Raw genomic sequence first — 21,230 nt, 5'->3', positions numbered from 1 at the left:
AATACTTTACAGACAAGCAAATGCTGAGAGATTTTGTCACCACCAGGCCTGCCCTAAAAGAGCTCCTGAAGGAAGCGCTAAACATGGAAAGGAACAACCGGTACCAGCTGCTGCAAAATCATGCCAAAATGTAAAGACCATCGAGACTAGGAAGAAACTGCATCAACTAACGAGCAAAATAACGAGCTAACATCATAATGACAGGATCAAATTCACACATAACAATATTAACTTTAAATGTAAATGGACTAAATGCTCCAATTAAAAGACACAGACTGGCAAATTGGATAAAGAGTCAAGACCCATCAGTGTGCTGTATTCAGGAAACCCATCTCACGTGCAGAGACACACATAGGCTCAAAATAAAAGGATGGAGGAAGATCTACCAAGCCATGGAAAACAAAAAAAGGCAGGGGTTGCAATCCTAGCCTCTGATAAAACAGACTTTAAACCAACAAAGATCAAAAGAGACAAAGAAGGCCATTACATAATGGTAAAGGGATCAATTAAACAAGAAGAGCTAACTATCCTAAATATATATGCACCCAATACAGGAGCACCCAGATTCATAAAGCAAGTCCTGAGTGACCTACAAAGAGACTTAGACTCCCACACATTAATAATGGGAGACTTTAACACCCCACTGTCAACATTAGACAGATCAACGAGACAGAAAGTCAACAAGGATACCCAGGAATTGAACTCAGCTCTGCACCAAGCGGACCTAATAGACATCTACAGAAGTCTCCACGCCAAATCAACAGAATATACATTTTTTTCAGCACCACACCACACCTATTCCAAAATTGACCACATACTTGGAAGTAAAGCTCTCCTCAGCAAATGTAAAAGAACAGAGATTATAACAAACTATCTCTCAGACCACAGTGCAATCAAACTAGAACTCAGAATTAAGAATCTCACTCAAAACCGCTCAACTACATGGAAACTGAACAACCTGCTCCTGAATGACTACTGGATACATGACGAAATGAAGGCAGAAATAAAGATGTTCTTTGAAACCAACGAGAACAAAGACACAACATACCAGAATCTCTGGGATGCATTCAAAGCAGTGTGTAGAGGGAAATTTATAGCACTAAATGCCCACAAGAGAAAGCAGGAAAGATCCAAAATTGACACCCTAACATCACAATTAAAAGAACTAGAAAAGCAAGAGCAAACACATTCAAAAGCTAGCAGAAGGCAAGAAATAACTAAAATCAGAGCAGAACTGAAGGAAATAGAGACACAAAAAACCCTTCAAAAAATTAATGAATCCAGGAGCTGGTTTTTTGAAAGGATCAACAAAATTGATAGACCGCTAGCAAGACTAATAAAGAAAAAGAGAAGAATCAAATAGACACAATAAAAAATGATAAAGGGGATATCACCACCGATCCCACAGAAATACAAACTACCATCAGAGAATACTACAAACACCTCTATGCAAATAAACTAGAAAATCTAGAAGAAATGGATAAATTCCTCGACACATACACTCTCCCAAGACTAAACCAGGAAGAAGTTGAATCTCTGAATAGACCAATAACAGGAGCTGAAATTGTGGCAATAATCAATAGTTTACCAACCAAAAAGAGTCCAGGACCAGATGGATTCACAGCCGAATTCTACCAGAGGTACAAGGAGGAACTGGTACCATTCCTTCTGAAACTATTCCAATCAATAGAAAAAGAGGGAATCCTCCCTAACTCATTTTATGAGGCTAGCATCATTCTAATACCAAAGCCGGGCAGAGACACAACCAAAAAAGAGAATTTTAGACCAATATCCTTGATGAACATTGATGCAAAAATCCTCAATAAAATACTGGCAAAATGAATCCAGCAGCACATCAAAAAGCTTATCCACCATGATCAAGTGGGCTTCATCCCTGGGATGCAAGGCTGGTTCAATATACGCAAATCAATAAATGTAATCCAGCATATAAACAGAGCCAAAGACAAAAACCACATGATTATCTCAATAGATGCAGAAAAGGCCTTTGACAAAATTCAACAACCCTTCATGCTAAAAACTCTCAATAAATTAGGTATTGATGGGACGTATTTCAAAATAATAAGAGCTATCTATGACAAACCCACAGCCAATATCATACTAAATGGGCAAAAACTGGAAGCATTCCCTTTGAAAACTGGCACAAGACAGGGATGCCCTCTCTCACCACTCCTATTCAACATAGTGTTGGAAGTTCTGGCCAGGGCAATTAGGCAGGAGAAGGAAATAAAGGGTATTCAATTAGGAAAAGAGGAAGTCAAATTGTCCCTGTTCGCAGACGACATGACTGTATATCTAGAAAACCCCATTGTCTCAGCCCAAAATCTCCTTAAGCTGATAAGCAACTTCAGCAAAGTCTCAGGATACAAAATCAACGTGCAAAAATCACAAGCATTCTTATACACCAACAACAGACAAACAGAGAGCCAAATCATGAGTGAACTCCCATTCACAATTGCTTCAAAGAGAATAAAATACCTAGGAATCCAACTTACAAGGGATGTGAAGGACCTCTTCAAGGAGAACTACAAACCACTGCTCAAGGAAATAAAAGAGGATACAAACAAATGGAAGAACATTCCATGCTCATGGGTAGGAAGAATCAATATCATGAAAATGGCCATACTGCCCAAGGTAATTTACAGATTCAATGCCATCCCCATAAAGCTACCAATGACTTTCTTCACAGAATTGGAAAAAACTACTTTAAAGTTCATATGGAACCAAAAAAAGAGCCCGCATCGCCAAGGCAATCCTAAGCCAAAAGAACGAAGCTGGAGGCATCACACTACCTGACTTCAAACTATACTACAAGGCTACAGTAACCAAAACAGCATGGTACTGGTACCAAAACAGAGATATAGATCAATGGAACAGAACAGAGCCCTCAGAAATAACGCCGCATATCTACAACTATCTGATCTTTGACAAACCTGAGAAAAACAAGCAATGGGGAAAGGATTCCCTATTTAATAAATGGTGCTGGGAAAACTGGCTAGCCATATGTAGAAAGCTGAAACTGGATCCCTTTCTTACACCTTATACAAAAATCAATTCAAGATGGATTAAAGACTTAAACGTTAGACCTAAAACCATAAAACCCTAGAAGAAAACCTAGGCATTACCATTCGGGATATAGGCATGGGCAAGGACTTCATGTCCAAAACACCAAAAGCAATGGCAACAAAAGACAAAATTGACAAATGGGATCTAATTAAACTAAAGAGCTTCTGCACAGCAAAAGAAACTACCATCAGTGTGAACAGGCAACCTACAAAATGGGAGAAAATTTTCGCAACCTACTCATCTGACACAGGGCTAATATCCAGAATCTACAATGAACTCAAACAAATTTACAAGAAAAAAACAAACAACCCCATCAAAAAGTGGGCGAAGGACATGAACAGACACTTCTCAAAAGAAGACATTTATGCAGCCAAAAAACACATGAAAAAATGCTCATCATCACTGGCCATCAGAGAAATGCAAATCAAAACCACAATGAGATACCATCTCACACCAGTTAGAATGGCAATCATTAAAAAGTCAGGGAACAACAGGTGCTGGAGAGGATGTGGAGAAATAGGAACACTTTTACACTGTTGGTGGGACTGTAAACTAGTTCAACCGTTGTGGAAGTCAGTGTGGCGACTCCTCAGGGATCTAGAACTAGAAATACCATTTGACCCAGCCATCCCATTACTGGGTATATACCCAAAGGACTATAAATCATGCTGCTATAAAGACACATGCACACGTATGTTTATTGTGGCATTATTCACAATAGCAAAGACTTGGAACCAACCCAAATGTCCAACAATGATAGACTGGATTAAGAAAATGTGGCACATATACACCATGGAATACTATGCAGCCATAAAAAATGATGAGTTCATGTCCTTTGTAGGGACATGGATGAAATTGGAAATCATCATTCTCAGTAAACTATCGCAAGAACAAAAAACCAAACACCGCATATTCTCGCTCATAGGTGGGAATTGAACAATGAGATCACATGGACACAGGAAGCGGAATATCACACTCTGGGGACTGTTGTGGGGTGGGGGGAGGGGGGAGGGATAGCACTGGGAGATATACCTAATGCTAGATGACAAGTTAGTGGGTGCAGCGTACCAGCATGGCACATGTATACATATGTAACTAACCTGCACAATGTGCACATGTACCCTAAAACTTAAAGTATAATAAAAAAATAAATAAATATTTTGTATAGACATATTAATTGCCTTTAAATATTCTATGTCTTTGTATTACACCTAAGATGCATATGTTATGTAGTCTATATATACTTTTGAATGAAAATTCACAGATGCATCTTTAAAAAGGCACCTCGGTGTTAGAATATGGGATGCAAAATTTAAAAACAATTCAAAAGTTTGTAAAATGATTTATTCCTTTAAGAAATGCCTTTTTAAACACCTAATTTGGGTAAGGAACTCTGTTATCTAAGAATGAATTAGAGATGTGCTTAGTGTCTAATGGAGACAAGGTACACTTGGTTAAATATTTTCTTTCTAAAAGAGGTGATTTATCTGCTGTGCTATTTATAAAATGCACTTAAAGCACTGAGTTCATATTGATGTCATTGTCTTAAAAGTGCTTTTTTTTTTTTGGTTTCCTCAAAGATATACTAAGGAGCTTTTGCAAGTCAATGTGCAAAAAGACACTACAATGAGTGGAGAATCAACAGTGCTCTCAGAACTTTGCTCTCAGAAAACTTAAGTTACCAGGCACTAAGTGGCTACTCAAAATGTGGTTTGTGGACCAGAAGCATCACATCTCCTGGGAACTAGGTAGGGATGCAGAATCTCAGGACCGCCCCTAACCTACTTCATCAGGTTCTGCATTTTAACCAGATCCCCAATGACTTGCAAGCACATGAGTGTTTGAGAAGCCCTGATTGAAGGCAATGTATTGTAGCGTGGTGGAGTAGCCCAGGAACACCATGGACCAAACTTAAAAATCCTATTGCTAAGTCCCATTCCAGACAGAATTTTCAGGAGGGCAACAAGTTTCTCAAGAGAGTTTTATTTTCGGTCGAGTTTAGAATACATCAAACAGAAGCTATAAACTGATGTCCTAAAATAACATGGATCTGGGCTAGGCATGAGGGTTCATGCCTGTAGTCCTAGCACTTCGGGAGGTTGAGGTGGAGGATTGCTTGAGGCCAGAAGTATTGCTTGAGGCAGGGTGTTCAAGACCAGCGTGGGCAATATAGCAAGACCCTGTCTATAACAAAAAATTAAATTAACTGGGAATGGTGGTGCACAGCTCTACTCTCAGCTACTTAGGAGGCTGAGGGTGGAGGATCACTTGAGCCCAGGAGGTTGAGGCTGCAGTGAGCTATGTTTGTACCACTGCATTCTAGCCTGGGTAACAGAGCAAGATTCTGCCTCTAAAATAAAATAAAATAACACAGATTTGGGCTTAAATGTCAGGGCTGTGTCTTTGCAGAAAGTAAGCCTCAGTTTCCTCCTGATAATAGAATCTTCCCCGAAAAAATGTCACAAAACATGCAAGGCAAAGTCCATAAAATTCCTGGTATATAAAATGATACATTCTTAGTTATCAAAATTAGTATTGCAAAATTACTATCACTGTTACTTATAAAGACACCTCCCTCACCCCATTAAAAAAATAAAAATAAAAAATCTAATAAAAACAAAAGTAAAATGCCAATAACAGTAATGTTTATTTTCAGTAGAAACAATGTCAGATTATCATTGGTATTATACTAAGGACTTCAAAAATTTATAATTTTCATTTTGTGGGCAAAAATGTAACTGGGAATAAAAGCCTACATGGGGCTGGGTGTGGTGGCTCACACTTGTAATCCCAGCACTTTGAGAGACTAAGTCAGGAGAATTGCTTGAAGCCAGGAGTTGAAGGCCAGCCTGGGAAACAGAGCAAGACCCTGTCTTCACACATACACACACACACACACACGCGCACACACAAATTAGATGGGCATGGTGGCTTGTGCAGGTAGTCCTGGCTACTTGGGAGACTGAAGCAGAAGGATCGCTTGAACCTGGGAGGTTGAGGCTGCAGTGAGCCATGATCTTGCCACTGCAGTCCAGCCTGGGTGACGGAGCAAGACTCTGTCTCTTAAAAACTAAGTATGCGTGTAAGATATGGGGGGCAGGGCCTGTGAGTGAGAGAGTTGGGGCAAAAGATGGGGAAAGGCCTGGGCTATACTACTTACTCAGCAGGCAAAAATATCTGGGCTTGGAATCAGATGAATCTAGGCTCAACCCTGGCTGTGTGATAGAAAATCCTGGAAGCTTTAAAAAATGAGGGGCCTGGATCCCACCCTCAGAGATTCTGATTAACTGGACTGGGTGCAGCCTGGGTTTCCGGAATCTCATGAGCTGCTCAGGGGGCCCTAATGTGCAGCCAGCATTGAGAATGGCCACTGCAGGGCCTTCCCTGCAGCATCACTGTGATGTTTAAATCAGATAATATATGGTGGGCATTTAACATAGAGTCTTGGCCCTCAGTGTAACTGCTAGATTAAAAACAGAAATACAAATTGAGCATCCTGAATCCAAAACTCCAAAATCTGAATGCTTCAAAATCTGAAACTTTTTGAGTGATGATGTGATGCCACAGTGGAAAATTCCACTCCTGATCACATGTGACGAGTCACCGTCAAAATGCAGGTGCACAACACACAGTTTATTCGGCTTCTCCAAGGGGAAAAAAAGACCCTCTCAGGCCCCTTCAGTTGCAATATATATTTTCTGCCCTTATCCAGACTCCCTCCTGTAAGCATTGCCCAGAACAATTAATAAAATGGCACGTATGCTGGCCAGAAATGCCAACAATAGGTTCCCCATGATGTCCCACATGAAGCCAAGACCTGCATGCATTACTTTTTGCTTATTCTCTGCTCTGTAAAGATATTGTTGAAAATGTCAAAAAGGCCTACAGATACCTCTATGGGTAATAGTGATAAAATACAAGTAATCTGGTGATGCTACTTTGCTGCTTAGTTATCCTGAACACATTATTTTTTTTACTGTATTAATGGTTTGTCAATTTTTTTACTAGGTACTTAGGTGTGAATAAGTGTAAGAAGATGATTGCTCATCAGTAACATATAAATTCAGAGACAGGGATGATAGTGGTCAAAGATTGGCCACATGGGCTTGAGATAGTGTAGTGACACATTTGCTTTCTGATTGTTTAATGTACAAAACCTTTATTTCATGCACAAAACTATTTAAAATAGTGTATAAAATTACCTTCAGGCTACATGTATAAGGTGTATATGGAACATAAGTGAATTTCTTGTTTGGGCTTGGGTTCCATCCTCCGAGATATCTCACGATGTATATGCAAGTATTCCAAAACCTGAAAACATTTGAAATTCAAAACACTTCTGGTCCTGAGCATTTCAGATATGGGATACCCAAGCTGTACCGGTTATTGTTACTGTAATATTTGGGATGGCCAGCAAGTTACATGTAATGAAATATGTTTCTCAGTCACCCCCCAAAATATACAAAGAGCTATGTATAATACTGATATCTGTCCCTGGAAGGTATACAATCTGAAGCAAAGACAGGGGAAAAAAGTGCTTAACAACAAATGCTTCTCAGGTGGAAATTCCCACGTGGCCCCTACAGTGCAAAGCATATCAATTGCAAGTCTCAAAAAATAACGTCTCTTAAGTGCCCTGGGTGTGAATACAGTTTACTGACACCTTTGCTCCGTACCCACAGCTGGACATTCTACTTGGGCAAGCACTGAATTTATACTGAATTTAAATTGTACCATAGGAAGTCAGTTTTCCTTTACCTTAGCTTCTAAATTGGAATCTTACCAAACTGAGTTAGATGAAAAATAAAGCTCTTTGATTCTTTATGTTCTTTAGTGTTGCAGGACACACAGAAGTTTTTTTGGCTTCTTTTGCTTATTATCTACTTTGTGCTTATTATCTACTTTGTCTCCCTGGTGATTAAGTAAACCCATGTGGTAGGCAGAATAATGGCTCCCCAAAGTTGTCTATGTCTTAATCCTGGAAACCTGTGGATGTGTTAGGTTACATGGCAAGTGAGTATTAAGGTTGAAGATGAAATTAAGCATGCTAGCAGCTGATCTTATACACCATGGAATACTATGCAGCCATAAAAAGGAACAAGATCATGTCCTTTGCAGGGACATGGATGGAGCTGGAAGCCATTATCCTCAGCAAACTAACGCAGGAACAGAAAACCAAACGCCTCATGTTCTCGCTTATAAGTGGGAGCTGAACAATGAGAACACATGGACACAGGGAGGGGAACAACACACTGGGGCCTGTTGGAAGGTCGGGGAGGGGGAGGGAGAACATTAGGAAACATAGCTAATGCATGCTGGGCTTAATACCTAGGTGATGGGTTGATAGGTGCAGCAAATGACCATGGCACATGTTTACCTATGTAACAAACCTGCACGTCCTGCACATGGACCCCAGAACTTAAAAAAAAAATTAAAGTAGGATTATTCTGGATTATCCAGGTAGGCCTAATGGAATCAAGAGGGCCCTTTAGAGTGGAAGAGGGAATTTGAAGAAAGAACCAGAGACATGTCAGCATGAGAAGGACTCAGCCTAATCTTGCTGCCTTTGAAGTTGGAGGAAGGGGTCTATGAAGCTGGAAAAGGTGAGGAAACAGATTTTCCCCCAGGGCCTCCAGGAAGAAATGCACCTGCTGGCACCTTGATCTTAGCCAAGTAACCTCTACGTCAGACTTCTGACCTATAAAACTGTAAAATAATAAATGTGTGTTGTTTTAAGTCACTGAGTTTGTGGTAATTTGTCACAGCAGCAATAGAAATAGCAACAACAACAACAAAAAAAAACTACCAAAGAGCAAAGAAAAAGGTGACATCGATTTTATATTTTAAGGAACTAAATTTATTGTATAAATAATTAAATTTCCATAAAAGGAGCTAAAATTAACCCAACTGATATTTCTTATATATTTTACATTCATATAATGAGATGAAAATAAAGCAGGATTAATTCCCAACATACGACTTCCGAATTTGTCATAGGTACATTGTGCTGGGAATTTCCTTGGCACTCTCTGGACAAAAAACAAACAGGAATTCTTCAAGGATGTCTCAGTTGAGTCATTCCCAGGCTCCTACCAGGCCCTTTCAAAGTTCCGTGTTCAGGCTTCCTTTTCTCTACATTTATTATATTATTGAAACCATCAGTTTAAGTGGGACTACAATGAACTGAATGTTTATGTCCCCACCCGAAATTCATATTTTGAAATTCTAACCACCAAAGTGATGATATTAGGAGGAGGGGCCTTGGGGAGCTGATTAGGTCATAAGGGTAGAGCCTTGATGAATGGGATTAGTACCCTTGTAAAAGAGACCACAAGGGCCAGCTGTGGTGGCTCATGCCTGTAATCCCTGCCCTTTGGGAGGCTGAGGTGGGAGGATCACTTGAGGCCAAGAGTTTGAGACCAACCTAAGCAACATAATGAGACTTCTCATCCTTACAAAAAAATTAAAATATTAGCCTGGCATGGTGGCACACATCTGTAGCCCCAGTCACTTGGAAGGCTGAGGTGGGAGGATTGCTTGAGCCCAGAAGGTTGAGGCTGCATGAGCTGTGATTGCATCATTGCACTCCAGTCTGGGTGACAGAGCAAGACTCTGTCTCAAAAAAAAAAAAAAAAAAAAAAAAGAGAGAGATTGACCCCAGAGAGAGCCTTCACCCCTTCCACCATGTGAGGACACAATAAGAAGATGGTCTTCTGTCTACGAACCAGGAAGTGGGCTCTCATCAGACCCCAAATCTGCTGGCACCTTGATCTTAGACTTCCCAGCCTCTAGTACTGTAAGAAATAAATTTGTGTTGTTTGTAAGCCACCCAATCTACAGTAATTTGTTATACCAGCCCAAACAGATTAAGACAGGGACCATCTCCCCACAAGATGCTGAATTTTTCAAAGGCAAGGACTGTCTAATTCTCCACATGCTACTAGAGTGTAAATTCCAAAGGTAGAATATGAGTCTGTTTTGGTCACCGATGTAACTCAGTCACCTAGAACTGTGCCCAGTGTTCAATTATTGGTTGAATGAAGGAGTGAGTTTCAAAACATTGTTCATGTCTTCGTTCTGTCTACCCTGATAAAATGAGAGAAGTGCACAACTAAGCCCAAAGACAAAACAGTGATGGGAATTAACCTGGCCTAGCTCAAATGCCACCTGCTCTTGGAGCCTGTACTGGACACTTTAGAAGTGCAGTCTCTCCCCCTTGCTGACTTACCATGATGTCGGACACCCCTCACAAGACACTGGCCCAATGTGGGTTGTCTTGTCCGATATGTGTTTGTAGATTTTTGTGCTGGGGATGGGAGGTGGGAACAAGTGTCCTTTCCCAAGATTGTGTTCTAGTTTTGTGACTGGAGAGGGAATGGGGAAAATTACAAACATCAGAAAAGCCACAGTGCAGAAAACATGAAAGTTCATGAAATCAGCTACATGAGTTTGCTTGGGCTGCCACACCATAACACCATACTTGGTAGCTGAAACAGGAGAATTGTATTTTCTTTCAGTTTTGGAGGCTGGAAGTCAAAAATCAAGGTGTGGACAGGTTTGGTCTCTCCTGCAGCCTCTCTCCTTGTTCTGCAGATAGCTGCTTTCTTGCTGTGTCCTCACACAGCCTCATTTCTGTGCACATGCTTCTCAGATGTTTCTTCCTCTTAGATGAGGGACTGGTGTCCTTCCTCTTATAAGGACACCAGTCTCATTGGATTAGGGTCCTGCCCTTATGACCTCATTTAACATTAATGACCTCTTTAAAGTCCCTATCTCCAAATAAAGTCACATTAGGGGTTAGGGCTTCAACATATGAATATGGGGTGAGCACAATTTAGTTCCTAACATTGGCTATATAAGTAATAAAATATGAATCCTGGTTGCATACACATTTTTTAAGAAGTTAGAAACAAAAATCAAAGCAATTTAAAAGTGTCATTTGTTGAAGAGACAGACCACTACTATGGTGAGCTACTCTACCCTTCTCCAAAATAATTTTGAAAATTATTTCTTTCATCTTCCCACCTCCCCTGGAGGCCTCTTCAGACCAGGTACTGTGTAAGAAGCTGTGTTTTAAATATACTTGAACTTCTCTATAATTCCCAGTGCAGAGCCTTACACGAAGTATATATTCAATAAGCATGTATTAAATCATATCCTCCATAACTCTCAACTATTTTTTACAGTAACTAAGAGTTATGGCTATTTATCTCAACACCAGAGTGACAGTTTCGATACACGTCAGTCTGGTACAGACTTGGTTTCACAAGTTTTTTATTTTGGTGGGGGTTGGGAGAGACTGAATGAAATCTTACAATTTCAAAATTGGAAGTGGCCTGGTAAGTCACCTCATTTATCATTCTATTTTACAGTTATGTACTGTAGAACATTCAGAAATGTTTACTAACTACAATCTCTGGCTACTTTACTAGAAAAAGCTCAAACCCAGGACTCCTTACCTCATATGCTACTTGTCTCTTTGGATTTACTTAATATGCTATATACACAAATTCCAGGATGAACAAATTCTGCATTAGTACTGCATTAACCTGAAAATTTATAATCTCAGGCAAGACAGTTGTAAACCAGAACCCAATGGCAACAAATGTACAACTGTGATATTCCTCCCCATGCAATCTTGCCTGGATGAATATAAATATTCTTGACAATAGAAAATAGAAAAAGAAAAACAAAGGACTCATGATGTCTTCAGTAAGGAATGGTTTTGCTCTCGCATCTGCTTTCCTGTTTTTCTTTCACTCTTTGGAATGACATGAAGTCCCCTTTTGTATAAGCTGCTGTATATCATTGTTGGAATCCCCCTAGCTTGGGTCATTATGATATTACATAAAGAAAGCAAGAGTCAAATGGCCACACACCCTCCTAACAGGGTCCCTAGGCAGGCTGCATTAAGAACAGTGCTGTACATGATCTGATAATTGTTTTAACTCCTACTAATTAATAATAACCCAACTCATTTAGTATGAGTCCTAGGAGAATTCTCTGTTGGTACTGCTCAAAGCTAAGTAGATTCTACACCATCTCCCTTTTTGAGATCATATATATATATATATTTTTTAATTGATAGTGCTGGCGTTAGTTTTAGACAATAGCAAAGCAGATCATTTTTGCCCTTACAATTTTGGCACAATTACACAAACCTAATAACATTTATGGTGGGTAAAAGTACTTTCCCCTACTACAGGATATTTTTAGGCCTTCAAATTTAATAAAAATATCATTGTTATACAGCTTATGCCACCAGCTCATCCCCCATACTTTCAAACTAAAACTTTTTAAACTAAAATGCGAGGCTAGGAATTTCTATCTCGCAGATTCCATGGTGTACTTACTTGAGGGCCCCAGCTTTAGTAGCTCAGATTTTAGAATTAATACCATGGTTCTGGGTTTTGAAATTGAAATGTGTGAGCCTAAACACAAAGGTGTGGAGGGGCAAGGGTAAAACGTCACTAACAGAAATATGATGTACATTTATGAGAATCTTAAATTTTCTGTAATCTAATTTGCATCAAAATGGATTTTGCAGAAAATGTGAAAAGGGGATTCTCTAATCTGCGAATTTAACATTCCAAGATTTTTTTCCTATTTGTGAGTGACCACTAAGGTCTATAGCGGGTTGCTACTTGTCACTGTGAATATCCAAGCTTTATCAGGCCGGCCAATGTAAGGGACGTAATTATCAAGCCTGGCTCTGCCACAGGTCCAGGATTTGCTTTTAAATGCAAATACGTTTTTCCCTACTTACCATGTTGATAACTCTGCTACCATCACTAAACAGTTTTGTTTCTTTGTGAAAAATGTCCCTGGATAGAAAGCCAAAGGCTAGAGTCGGTGACGTGATCCAGAAAGATGACGCTTTTTAGGCAAAAAAAAAAACCATAATAAATAAATAAAAAAGAAAAAGAAGAAGTGTCAGAAGAATTAGAGAGAAAATCTCAATATTAGTAGTTACTTAGGTCTGTGACAGGAATAAGTCAACCATATACTCTAAGCAGGGAAAATAAAATGCTAATGGGATATTTGAGGATGAAACTCATCTTTTGCCATATCAAGGGCATGTCAACTCTGTAGGTCACATTGCTTTTCCGAAAGTCAGATAATGGAACCAATATAACAAAACATCTTTGACCCAGTTTAATTGATGTGATTAATCAAGGAGGCTTGCTTATCCACTCAGCTCTGCATGCATTCATTCAGCGAGCATTTATTGAATCTGGGGTAATGAGCTGGGCACTGGAGTAGATTGGAATTCAATGTCAAACAAAACTCTTCTGAAGGAGGTTTTACAATCTAACGGGAAAAATAAAAATATGAAAAACCACTGAGGGGTATTAATGAAGTGTCAAATATACATAGAGAAGAAGCAAAGCGCTTCATTGGAGAAGAGGTGAAAAGATTTCATGGAGATAGTGTCTACATTTGAGTTTATAAAAAGATACTATTTGGTCACTTGGAGCTGGCAAGGAGCAGAGACCACCTCACATTTAGGAGACAGTGGAAGCAATGCTAAAGAAGCTCATTAGCATGAGGCCCTAGAGAAGAGGGACTTAGCTGAACTTGTGGTTCTAGAATATGACATCTCAGCTCAGACTTGGAAAAAGAAAAAGCATCACGTCAAGAGGGGTAAAAACGTGATATATTCTAAAAAGAGTTAATAACGTGATCAAAGACAGGGAGACATGAACCGATATGGTAGACCAGGAACTGGAAGCTGTTTAGTATTATTGGAGTGAAATGTGTGTGGAGTAGATCATGAAAGAAGAGTTTCTAGTTCTTTCCAACATCTTCTCATTTCAAACAATTCTTCTAGAAGCTATTCAAGAAGTCTGAGCCAAACTGTGACCTCTTCTGAGCTGTGCACAATTAAGGGTCAGTGAACTGGAGTCTTGGCAATGGAGTCTGCCTCTGCCATCAGACCGCAGCTTATGGGACAGCATGGTGGCTCTGGCTCCAGGACATGCACAGAGAAAGTCTTACCTCTGGCAGGTAAGGAATGTCTGAAAAGACCTAGTTCAGCACCTAGGACATGCATCTAGAAATGGACCTAGAGCTATAATACTGAGAGTCTTGGAAGCATTTTGCCCCCCAAAAGTAAGCCGAAGCTCCAAGGATCACAATGAGACCCTGGCCATGGCATGGGCAAGAGCACCCAATGAGGGCAGTGCAAGGGTGATCCCTTCTGAGGGTAAGCAGTAAAAGACTAATGATTTCTTGGGATCATGTTGGGCTAAAGAGAATCTTGAGGGCCAGGCGTGGTGGCTCACCCCTGTGATCCCAGCACTTTTGGAGGCTGAGGCAGGGGGATCACAAGGTCAGGAGATCAAGACCAGCCTGACCAACATGGTGAAACATCATCTCTATTAAAAATACAAAAATTAGTCAGGTGTGGTGGCGGGCGCCTATAGTCCCAGCTACTAAGGAGGCTGAGGCAGGAGAATCGCTTAAACCTGGGAGGCAGAGATTGCAGTGAGCCGAGATCGTGCCATTGCACTCCAGCCTGGGTGACGGAGCGAGACTCTGTCTCAAAAAAAAAAGAGAATCTTGAAATAAGAATCAAGGGATACTATGACTAGATTACTCCTGCTCCAACTTGGAAAAACAATTCTTCCATGGAAGCGTGAAAATTTAGGAAGATCTATAGTAGTGGTCTCTTGGTGGGGAGGTAATTAAGGAGGGTTGCTGGGGCACTAGAAATTCTCTATTTCAATATGGATGGGGGCTCCACGTGTGTGTGTGTGTGTGTGTGTGTCTGTGTGTGTGTATGTGTGTGTGTTTGTGTAAATTAGTCAAAACATAACACTTAAAATTTACTCACTGTACTCTATGTAAGCTATACCTTACTAAGCAGTAAAATTTGAGAAAGAAGAAACTAAAGATGAAGTATGCACAAGTCCTGGTTTTGAAACCTATGTTTGAGTTTGACGTAATTGATGAGTTCACCCCATAGGTACAGAATTCCTACTTTGTGTGAGGCACCATACCTTGGTATCAGTGGCTGTTTCTTTACATTTTGAATATGATCAAATTTTGCCACCTAATGATAAACCTTCTATGACCGTCCTCATTTAAAATAAAATGTGAAGCAAAAAAATTGTTCAAAGCGATTTCTATTAATAATTAAACTAATTCTAGAAGTGTTCTTCTTGTAGTTAATTTACAAATGCAGACAGAAACCAATATCGTTTTTCTCTGCTAGAGTGCTCCGTTTCATTTCTCTGAGGTCCTTCATTTTTGCCCCGGAAACACTCATTTAAATGCAGGTGTGAGGCTGCATAAGCTTCTTAGCAGTGACTCAGAGTGCTGACGGGCCCCTTTTTATGATTTTTCCAGACAGAGAGGAATGGTTCAGCATGTTAAGTAGCTACAAATGGTAGAATTCAGCTGTAAACCGCTGCTCCACATGATTGCCTGCTGCCTACATTTCTCCACCTTAAATGTCATGCTAATACACTGGAATTTTGTTTCTCCTTCTCTCACTTAGTTAAATGAAGGCAGATCCAAAGTTCAAAATGCAAAATTGAAAACTCTCCTTGAAAGCATTTTTGAGATTACTTGTAGGTATGCAGCAGGAAATGGGGGAGAATTACGTAATGATATTCCAGTAAGCTCAGGAATCAAAGGGACGTTCTCTGCTCAACGAAAGCACACAGATCATAAAGTTCTCTCATGTGTTTGTTAGCACATGGCATATGTACTGGAGATTATATGTTCATTCCATAGAAATTCTCCTGGGCTGACTGTGTTAGGTTAGATTCCCTTGAAGCAGAGCCTAAGATGAGGGTTTTTAAATAATTTATTTATTTTGTATTTTATGTTTTTTAAAAAAACTATTTAATGTCTTTTATTTTGTATTTTTAATTGCGATAAAATAGAAATAACATAAGAATTTATCACTTTTACCATTTTTAAGTTCAGCAGTGTTAAAGACATCCATGTTGTTGTACAATCATTGACAGTATCCATCCCCAGAACTCTTTTCACTCTGCATAATAGACACTCTGTACCCATTAAACAAAAACTCCTCATTCCTTCCTCTCCCTAGCCCCTGGCAACCACCATCCTACCTTCTGTTTCTATGAATTTGACTGCTCTATATGCATCATATGAATGGAATCAAACAGTATTTGTGTTTTTATGACAGGCTTTCTTTACTTAGCATAATATCTTCAAGGTTCATCAATGTAAGGTTCATCAATGTTGGAGCATGTGTTAGAATCATTTTCCTTTTCTTTTTTTTTTTTTTTGAGATGGAGTCTCACTCTGTCACCCAGGCTAGAGTGCAGCGGTGTGATCTCGGCTCACTGCAACTTCCACCTCCTGGATTCAAGCAATCCTCCTGCTTCTGCTTCCCAAGTAGCTGGGATTACAAGCATGTGCCACTATGTCCGGCTAATTTTTTGTATTTTTAGTAGAGAAAGAGTCTCACCATGTGGGCCAGGCTGGTCTGGAACTCCTAGCCTCAAGTGATCTGCCTGCCTTGGCCTCCCAAAGTTCTGGGATTACAGGCATGAGCCACCTCGCCCAGCCAATTTTTCTTTTTAAGGCCAAATAATATTACATTGTATGGATATACTCCATTTTGTTTATCCACTCATCCATCAATGGATATTTGGGTTGCTTCTACTTTTGGCTATTATTAATATGAACATAAGGCAGGGATTCATTGAGAGAAGCTCTCAGGGGAAACAGATGAGGGAATAAGGGAAGCAATATAGGGAAGCAGAGGCAGCTAGGCAAGGACGTAGTTACAGCTGGAGACTGGTCTCAGCCTGATCCTGGAGAGTTCTGGAGTATGAATGGTACCACGGTGCTGTCCCAACTTAGGGTAAAAAGCCTGACCTTTGACACCACTCTATGAGTCAATCATGGGCTACGGGCCACTATTGGGTGTAGGGCGTTACCTCCCAGGTATTCCAGCCACGGCAACTCCTGTTGGCTGAGGACAATTCCTAGAAAAAGGGGTGCCTGTGAGTTGTTAGCTGCCAACACTCACAGCACCTGGGGGATAAGTGCACTCCCTAGGTAAAGGGATGCAGGGTGAGGTACCAATAGCATCTACATTGGGCTATCCCCACAATATAATGTCTTCCAAACCTTTTCAACTCAGCTTATGGCAGAGGTGTCCTGGTAAATGTTTAACAACCAGTTCTGGGGTTGGGGATAGGGGAGAGAAGCTCTAATATGTAGAACTTGCTAATTTCCATAGTGTCAATTCTCCCACCATGGCCAACTGCAACCTATTCGCATGACTCAGCAAATGTAGAGTTGTGAAGAAATGAGTAAAATCAGCTCTTGTGAGCTGGTGTGAATTGGTTCTCGCACAACACTGGTTTACAGAATTTATACTTTCTTGCCTACTCTGGCCAATTTGGATTCATTTTCCATACAACTGAATGGTAGTTGAGATACAGAGGTTCGGAGGAATACAAACTTCTGAATTCAGAGTAGAAATACTCAATAGCTATTCTTTGCAGGTGGTAAGGTATAGCAGGCTTAGGATGACCAACCATCCTGGTTTGCCTGGAACTCTCTTGGTATTGGCATTGACAGTCCTTCATGCATCCCAAGAAACTCCTCAGTCCTGGGCAAACCTGGATAGTGAGTCACTCTAGCAGAACCCACAAAGTGCTACATGTTTAATACTTTACCTTCCTGATTTCCCATAGTAACTGTTGCCTATGTCAAACCTTGTAACATTTAGCTCTATTCTAATTAAAAACTTCATCTCACAGTCATCTTGAACTCAGGACATCCAAAATTGTCCCATACTTGTTCCTTATAACCTGTTCTGAACCACCCCAAGCAAGATTTCAAATGTCATCCTAGGTTCACTTTTCACCTTCACCTCCTATATCCAAATGGTCGCCAAGTCACTTCTGGTTATAACCACTGGACAGAACTAATCACAGGGCTCCAGTCTAACTGCAAAGAGAACTAGGAAGTACGGGGGAGCATTGGAACATTTAAGTAGCACAGCGTTCTCAGCTACATGAATACATCCTAGGTGCCAGGCCCTAGGTGCTGGGGTACAGATTGTGAAAAAGATGGATAGAATTCCTACCCTCAGAGAACTTAAAGTCCTTCATAGCAAAGCCTGAATAACCTTTTAAGCAGGCAGGTTGTTTATATTATTTCTCTGCTTAAGACTCATGAATTGTTCCTTATTGTTAGTGGGGTAAAGCCCTAACTCCTTAGTACAGACTTTGAGCTCCTCCTTGATCACAACCTGCTTCTGGATTAGCCTAATGTCTTACCACTTTCCCACACACACCCCAGTTCCTGGTTGTAAAGGAAATGTTTGTAGCTTCTTATGACACTTTAATTCCTGACTCTGTGCCTTTGCACATACAGTTCCCTTTGCCCGAAGTGTCACCTACAGCCCTGTGTCAAACTCATCCTTGAAGGCCCACCTTGATGATCTCCTCCCTGAAGCTTTCTGACTAATTCCAACAGAGTTGACTGCTCACCATAGCTCAATCATTTGTTTTCATATAATTTGTGCTCATTAAACTATGAGTTCCTTGAAAGCATAAATGGCATTTGACTGAAATCCCCCAGCACCTATCATAGTGCCTAGCACCCAGTAGTTGTGCAGTAAATCATTATTAAAGCATATTAAGTTCACATTGCCTTCTATTTCTCTCTTATTGCTTCCCCTGCAAAAATTCCACAAATTCAGGAAACACGCCATGTATTTTTCCCACATATTTAGCAGAACGCTAAGAAGGTCCTACATCAATCAATGTTGATCATTGGAAAGAAAACCCTCGAAAGAGGACAGTATAGCAAGAAGTTAACACTGCAAACTTTATATAAGACTGAGGATTCCTTTAAAAATATTTTGAGATTTTTGTGGTCATTGTATCATTATCACAGCGTAACTACATGACTTTAAGTACAGTGCAACTCCCTTAACTTTTCTCTCTAAGAACAGTAATATATTATTGCCTTAGGAGTGTATTTTTGAAGGGAAGGTTGTATTAGTCATGCCTTTTTATTTTCTGTATTTTTGATGCTTTGACATGTGGGGCCACCCCAGTTTGGAGTTCGCTGACACTGGAAGCACTGCCCCACTGAGGGCTAGCTAATTCCTGGAGACAGTGAACAAGGACAACACCTGTCATATACAAACTAACCAATCCAGAGCCCACATACCCACCACCTTCTCATTAGGCTGTCATACTCAGGGCCAATATTCTACTGCTCCATCACCCAGGGCCAGGTACCAGACAATAGAGAGAGCTCCTACACCCCAGAGCCTGCTGAAATTATTCAAACAAGCCAATCCTAAGCCTGCCTTACATTACCTTGCCTATTTGTTCCTGTGGAAACAACAATAAAAGACCTTGCTCACATTTTTCCCCTTGCTCCCTCTGTCTCCTGATGATCCTGGTGCTTCCCTATGTGGGCCCCTGTGGCACGGCATGCTCCCTCCATACATAATCCTAGAGAACCCAATATAAGGCCAGCTAGACTCTTCTATAGTCACCTGGTTCTTAGTGTAGGAAAAAAAAATGAAGACAGAATGGTTCAAACTTTCTCAGCATTTTGTGGGAAAAATACATTGTATTTTTAATTTAATTTGATATCACATCCTATGAATGGGACCTACTCAAAGTCTTTCTAGTCATTGTCCATATGCTTCTATACTTAGGATTAATAAGAAGCAATTATATTTGAATATTGAGAAATCAAGGTGTATCAGTTAGGTATTTTCATACTAATGCCATGTAACGAACTAACCCAACATGTAGAGGCTTGGAACAATAAGTAGTTGTTTAGCTTACGCTTGTATGGGTAGACTGCATGGTCGTGCTTGCCTTGACTGAGCCTGCTCACATGTGTGAAGGTAGACTTGCTGTTGGCTTATCTAGGGTTGCCTTGGTTGAGACAACTGTGGATACTCAGCTCTAGCCCATGTGATTCCTCCTCTGGCCGGATAGCCTGGGCCTATCCTTCTCATGGCAGTGTCAGAGGACAACCCTAAGAGCAAGCCCAATTGCACAACTGCTTTTTATTTCTCTGTAGATGTGACATTTGCCAACATCTCATTTGCAATGTGTCACATTGCTGAGTAGAAGGCAATTATAAAGTTACATGTCTAAGGGCATGGATCCAGGGAGGTAGTAATGATGAAGAATTGGGGCCAATAATGCAATCAGTCTTCTGGCGAAGTAAATAGCAGCAAGTATAACTTAAAGAAAAAGAAGTGCTCTGAAAACAAACAAGATTAATATTCTATCATCTGTTATAATGCTTGAGAATCCAGATGTACATTTATTAAGTAATTTGTAATGAATCAGTATTTATTCCTATCAAGATGTGACTGCCATCAGAAATTTACTCGGGTCTGTATATGAATATCCATTTTGTTATTAACATACTCACTTGTGATCATATATGATGACTTAACGTAGAGTTTGAATTATTGCTTCAAGTTCTACTGGAAGGTAATAAGAAAAGCTGTAATTTATTTCTCAGGAATCCAGGTCAAGGCTGAGTTCTTTTGTAATGACCCCGAATGGTAATGGACAAACACTAAATATGCAGTGTTTACAAAGCCCAGAGAAATAATTGGGGGAACAAGCACAGGCTGTTTCCCTAAGAATTCCATCTATCGTCTGTACTCTGGATAGTCCTTTAAACAGTATTGGTTAGGACTATTCTTTGCACAGAGCTTTTCATCTTTAATATGTTTACTCTTCTTGCAAATAACTCACATGTGTTCTCCATCACAACTTCCAGTTATGGCCCTTGTGGTCACTCAACACTCATCCTTTATATTCCATTTCTTACTTAGGAGAGGTTACTTTTTATTAATTCATTTTTATGAGTCAACAGCTTTGTTTCCTTCACTCATTGTGCTTTAAAAGATCAAGGACTGTTGAGAGTTGATCATTTACAACCTTCACACACTGAAAAACTGCTTTAATTGCCCTGGAGAGAATGTATTATACAGAAGTGGTTATCTCATGCCCATCCAAAGGAAGTTGGCTCACTCAGCAAAAATATTAATTAATGGCAGGTATATTATGTGCCAAATACTGGGTTGGTGTCTGAAAGACACACACAAAAGTTTGCATAGTCCTTATTCTTAATAAGGTATTAAGCAGTGAAGACAAAGG

The 21,230-nt window shown here is 40.1% G+C and overlaps 1 protein-coding gene and 1 long non-coding RNA gene across 3 annotated transcripts in view, besides 1 other annotated feature; one reads left to right on the top strand and one right to left on the bottom strand.

The window, feature by feature from the left end:
- Window positions 1–4,236: part of a mobile genetic element, noted in NCBI's record as "direction; reverse", that runs on past the window's edge.
- The window catches only part of PLCB1 (phospholipase C beta 1), a 752,635-nt gene that overhangs the window by 285,563 nt on the left and 445,842 nt on the right, over window positions 1–21,230 (bottom strand). The gene's annotated exons all lie outside the window — the stretch shown is intronic.
- LOC124904868 (uncharacterized) lies at window positions 4,667–8,820 on the top strand. Its single transcript, XR_007067522.1, has 2 exons — window positions 4,667–4,832; window positions 8,545–8,820. It is a non-coding gene; the product is annotated as an uncharacterized LOC124904868 (long non-coding RNA).

This window comes from Homo sapiens, chromosome 20 (genome assembly GCF_000001405.40).
Source record: "Homo sapiens chromosome 20, GRCh38.p14 Primary Assembly".
NCBI lineage: Eukaryota > Metazoa > Chordata > Mammalia > Primates > Hominidae > Homo > Homo sapiens.
This window is presented reverse-complemented; position numbering and strand designations above follow the sequence as displayed.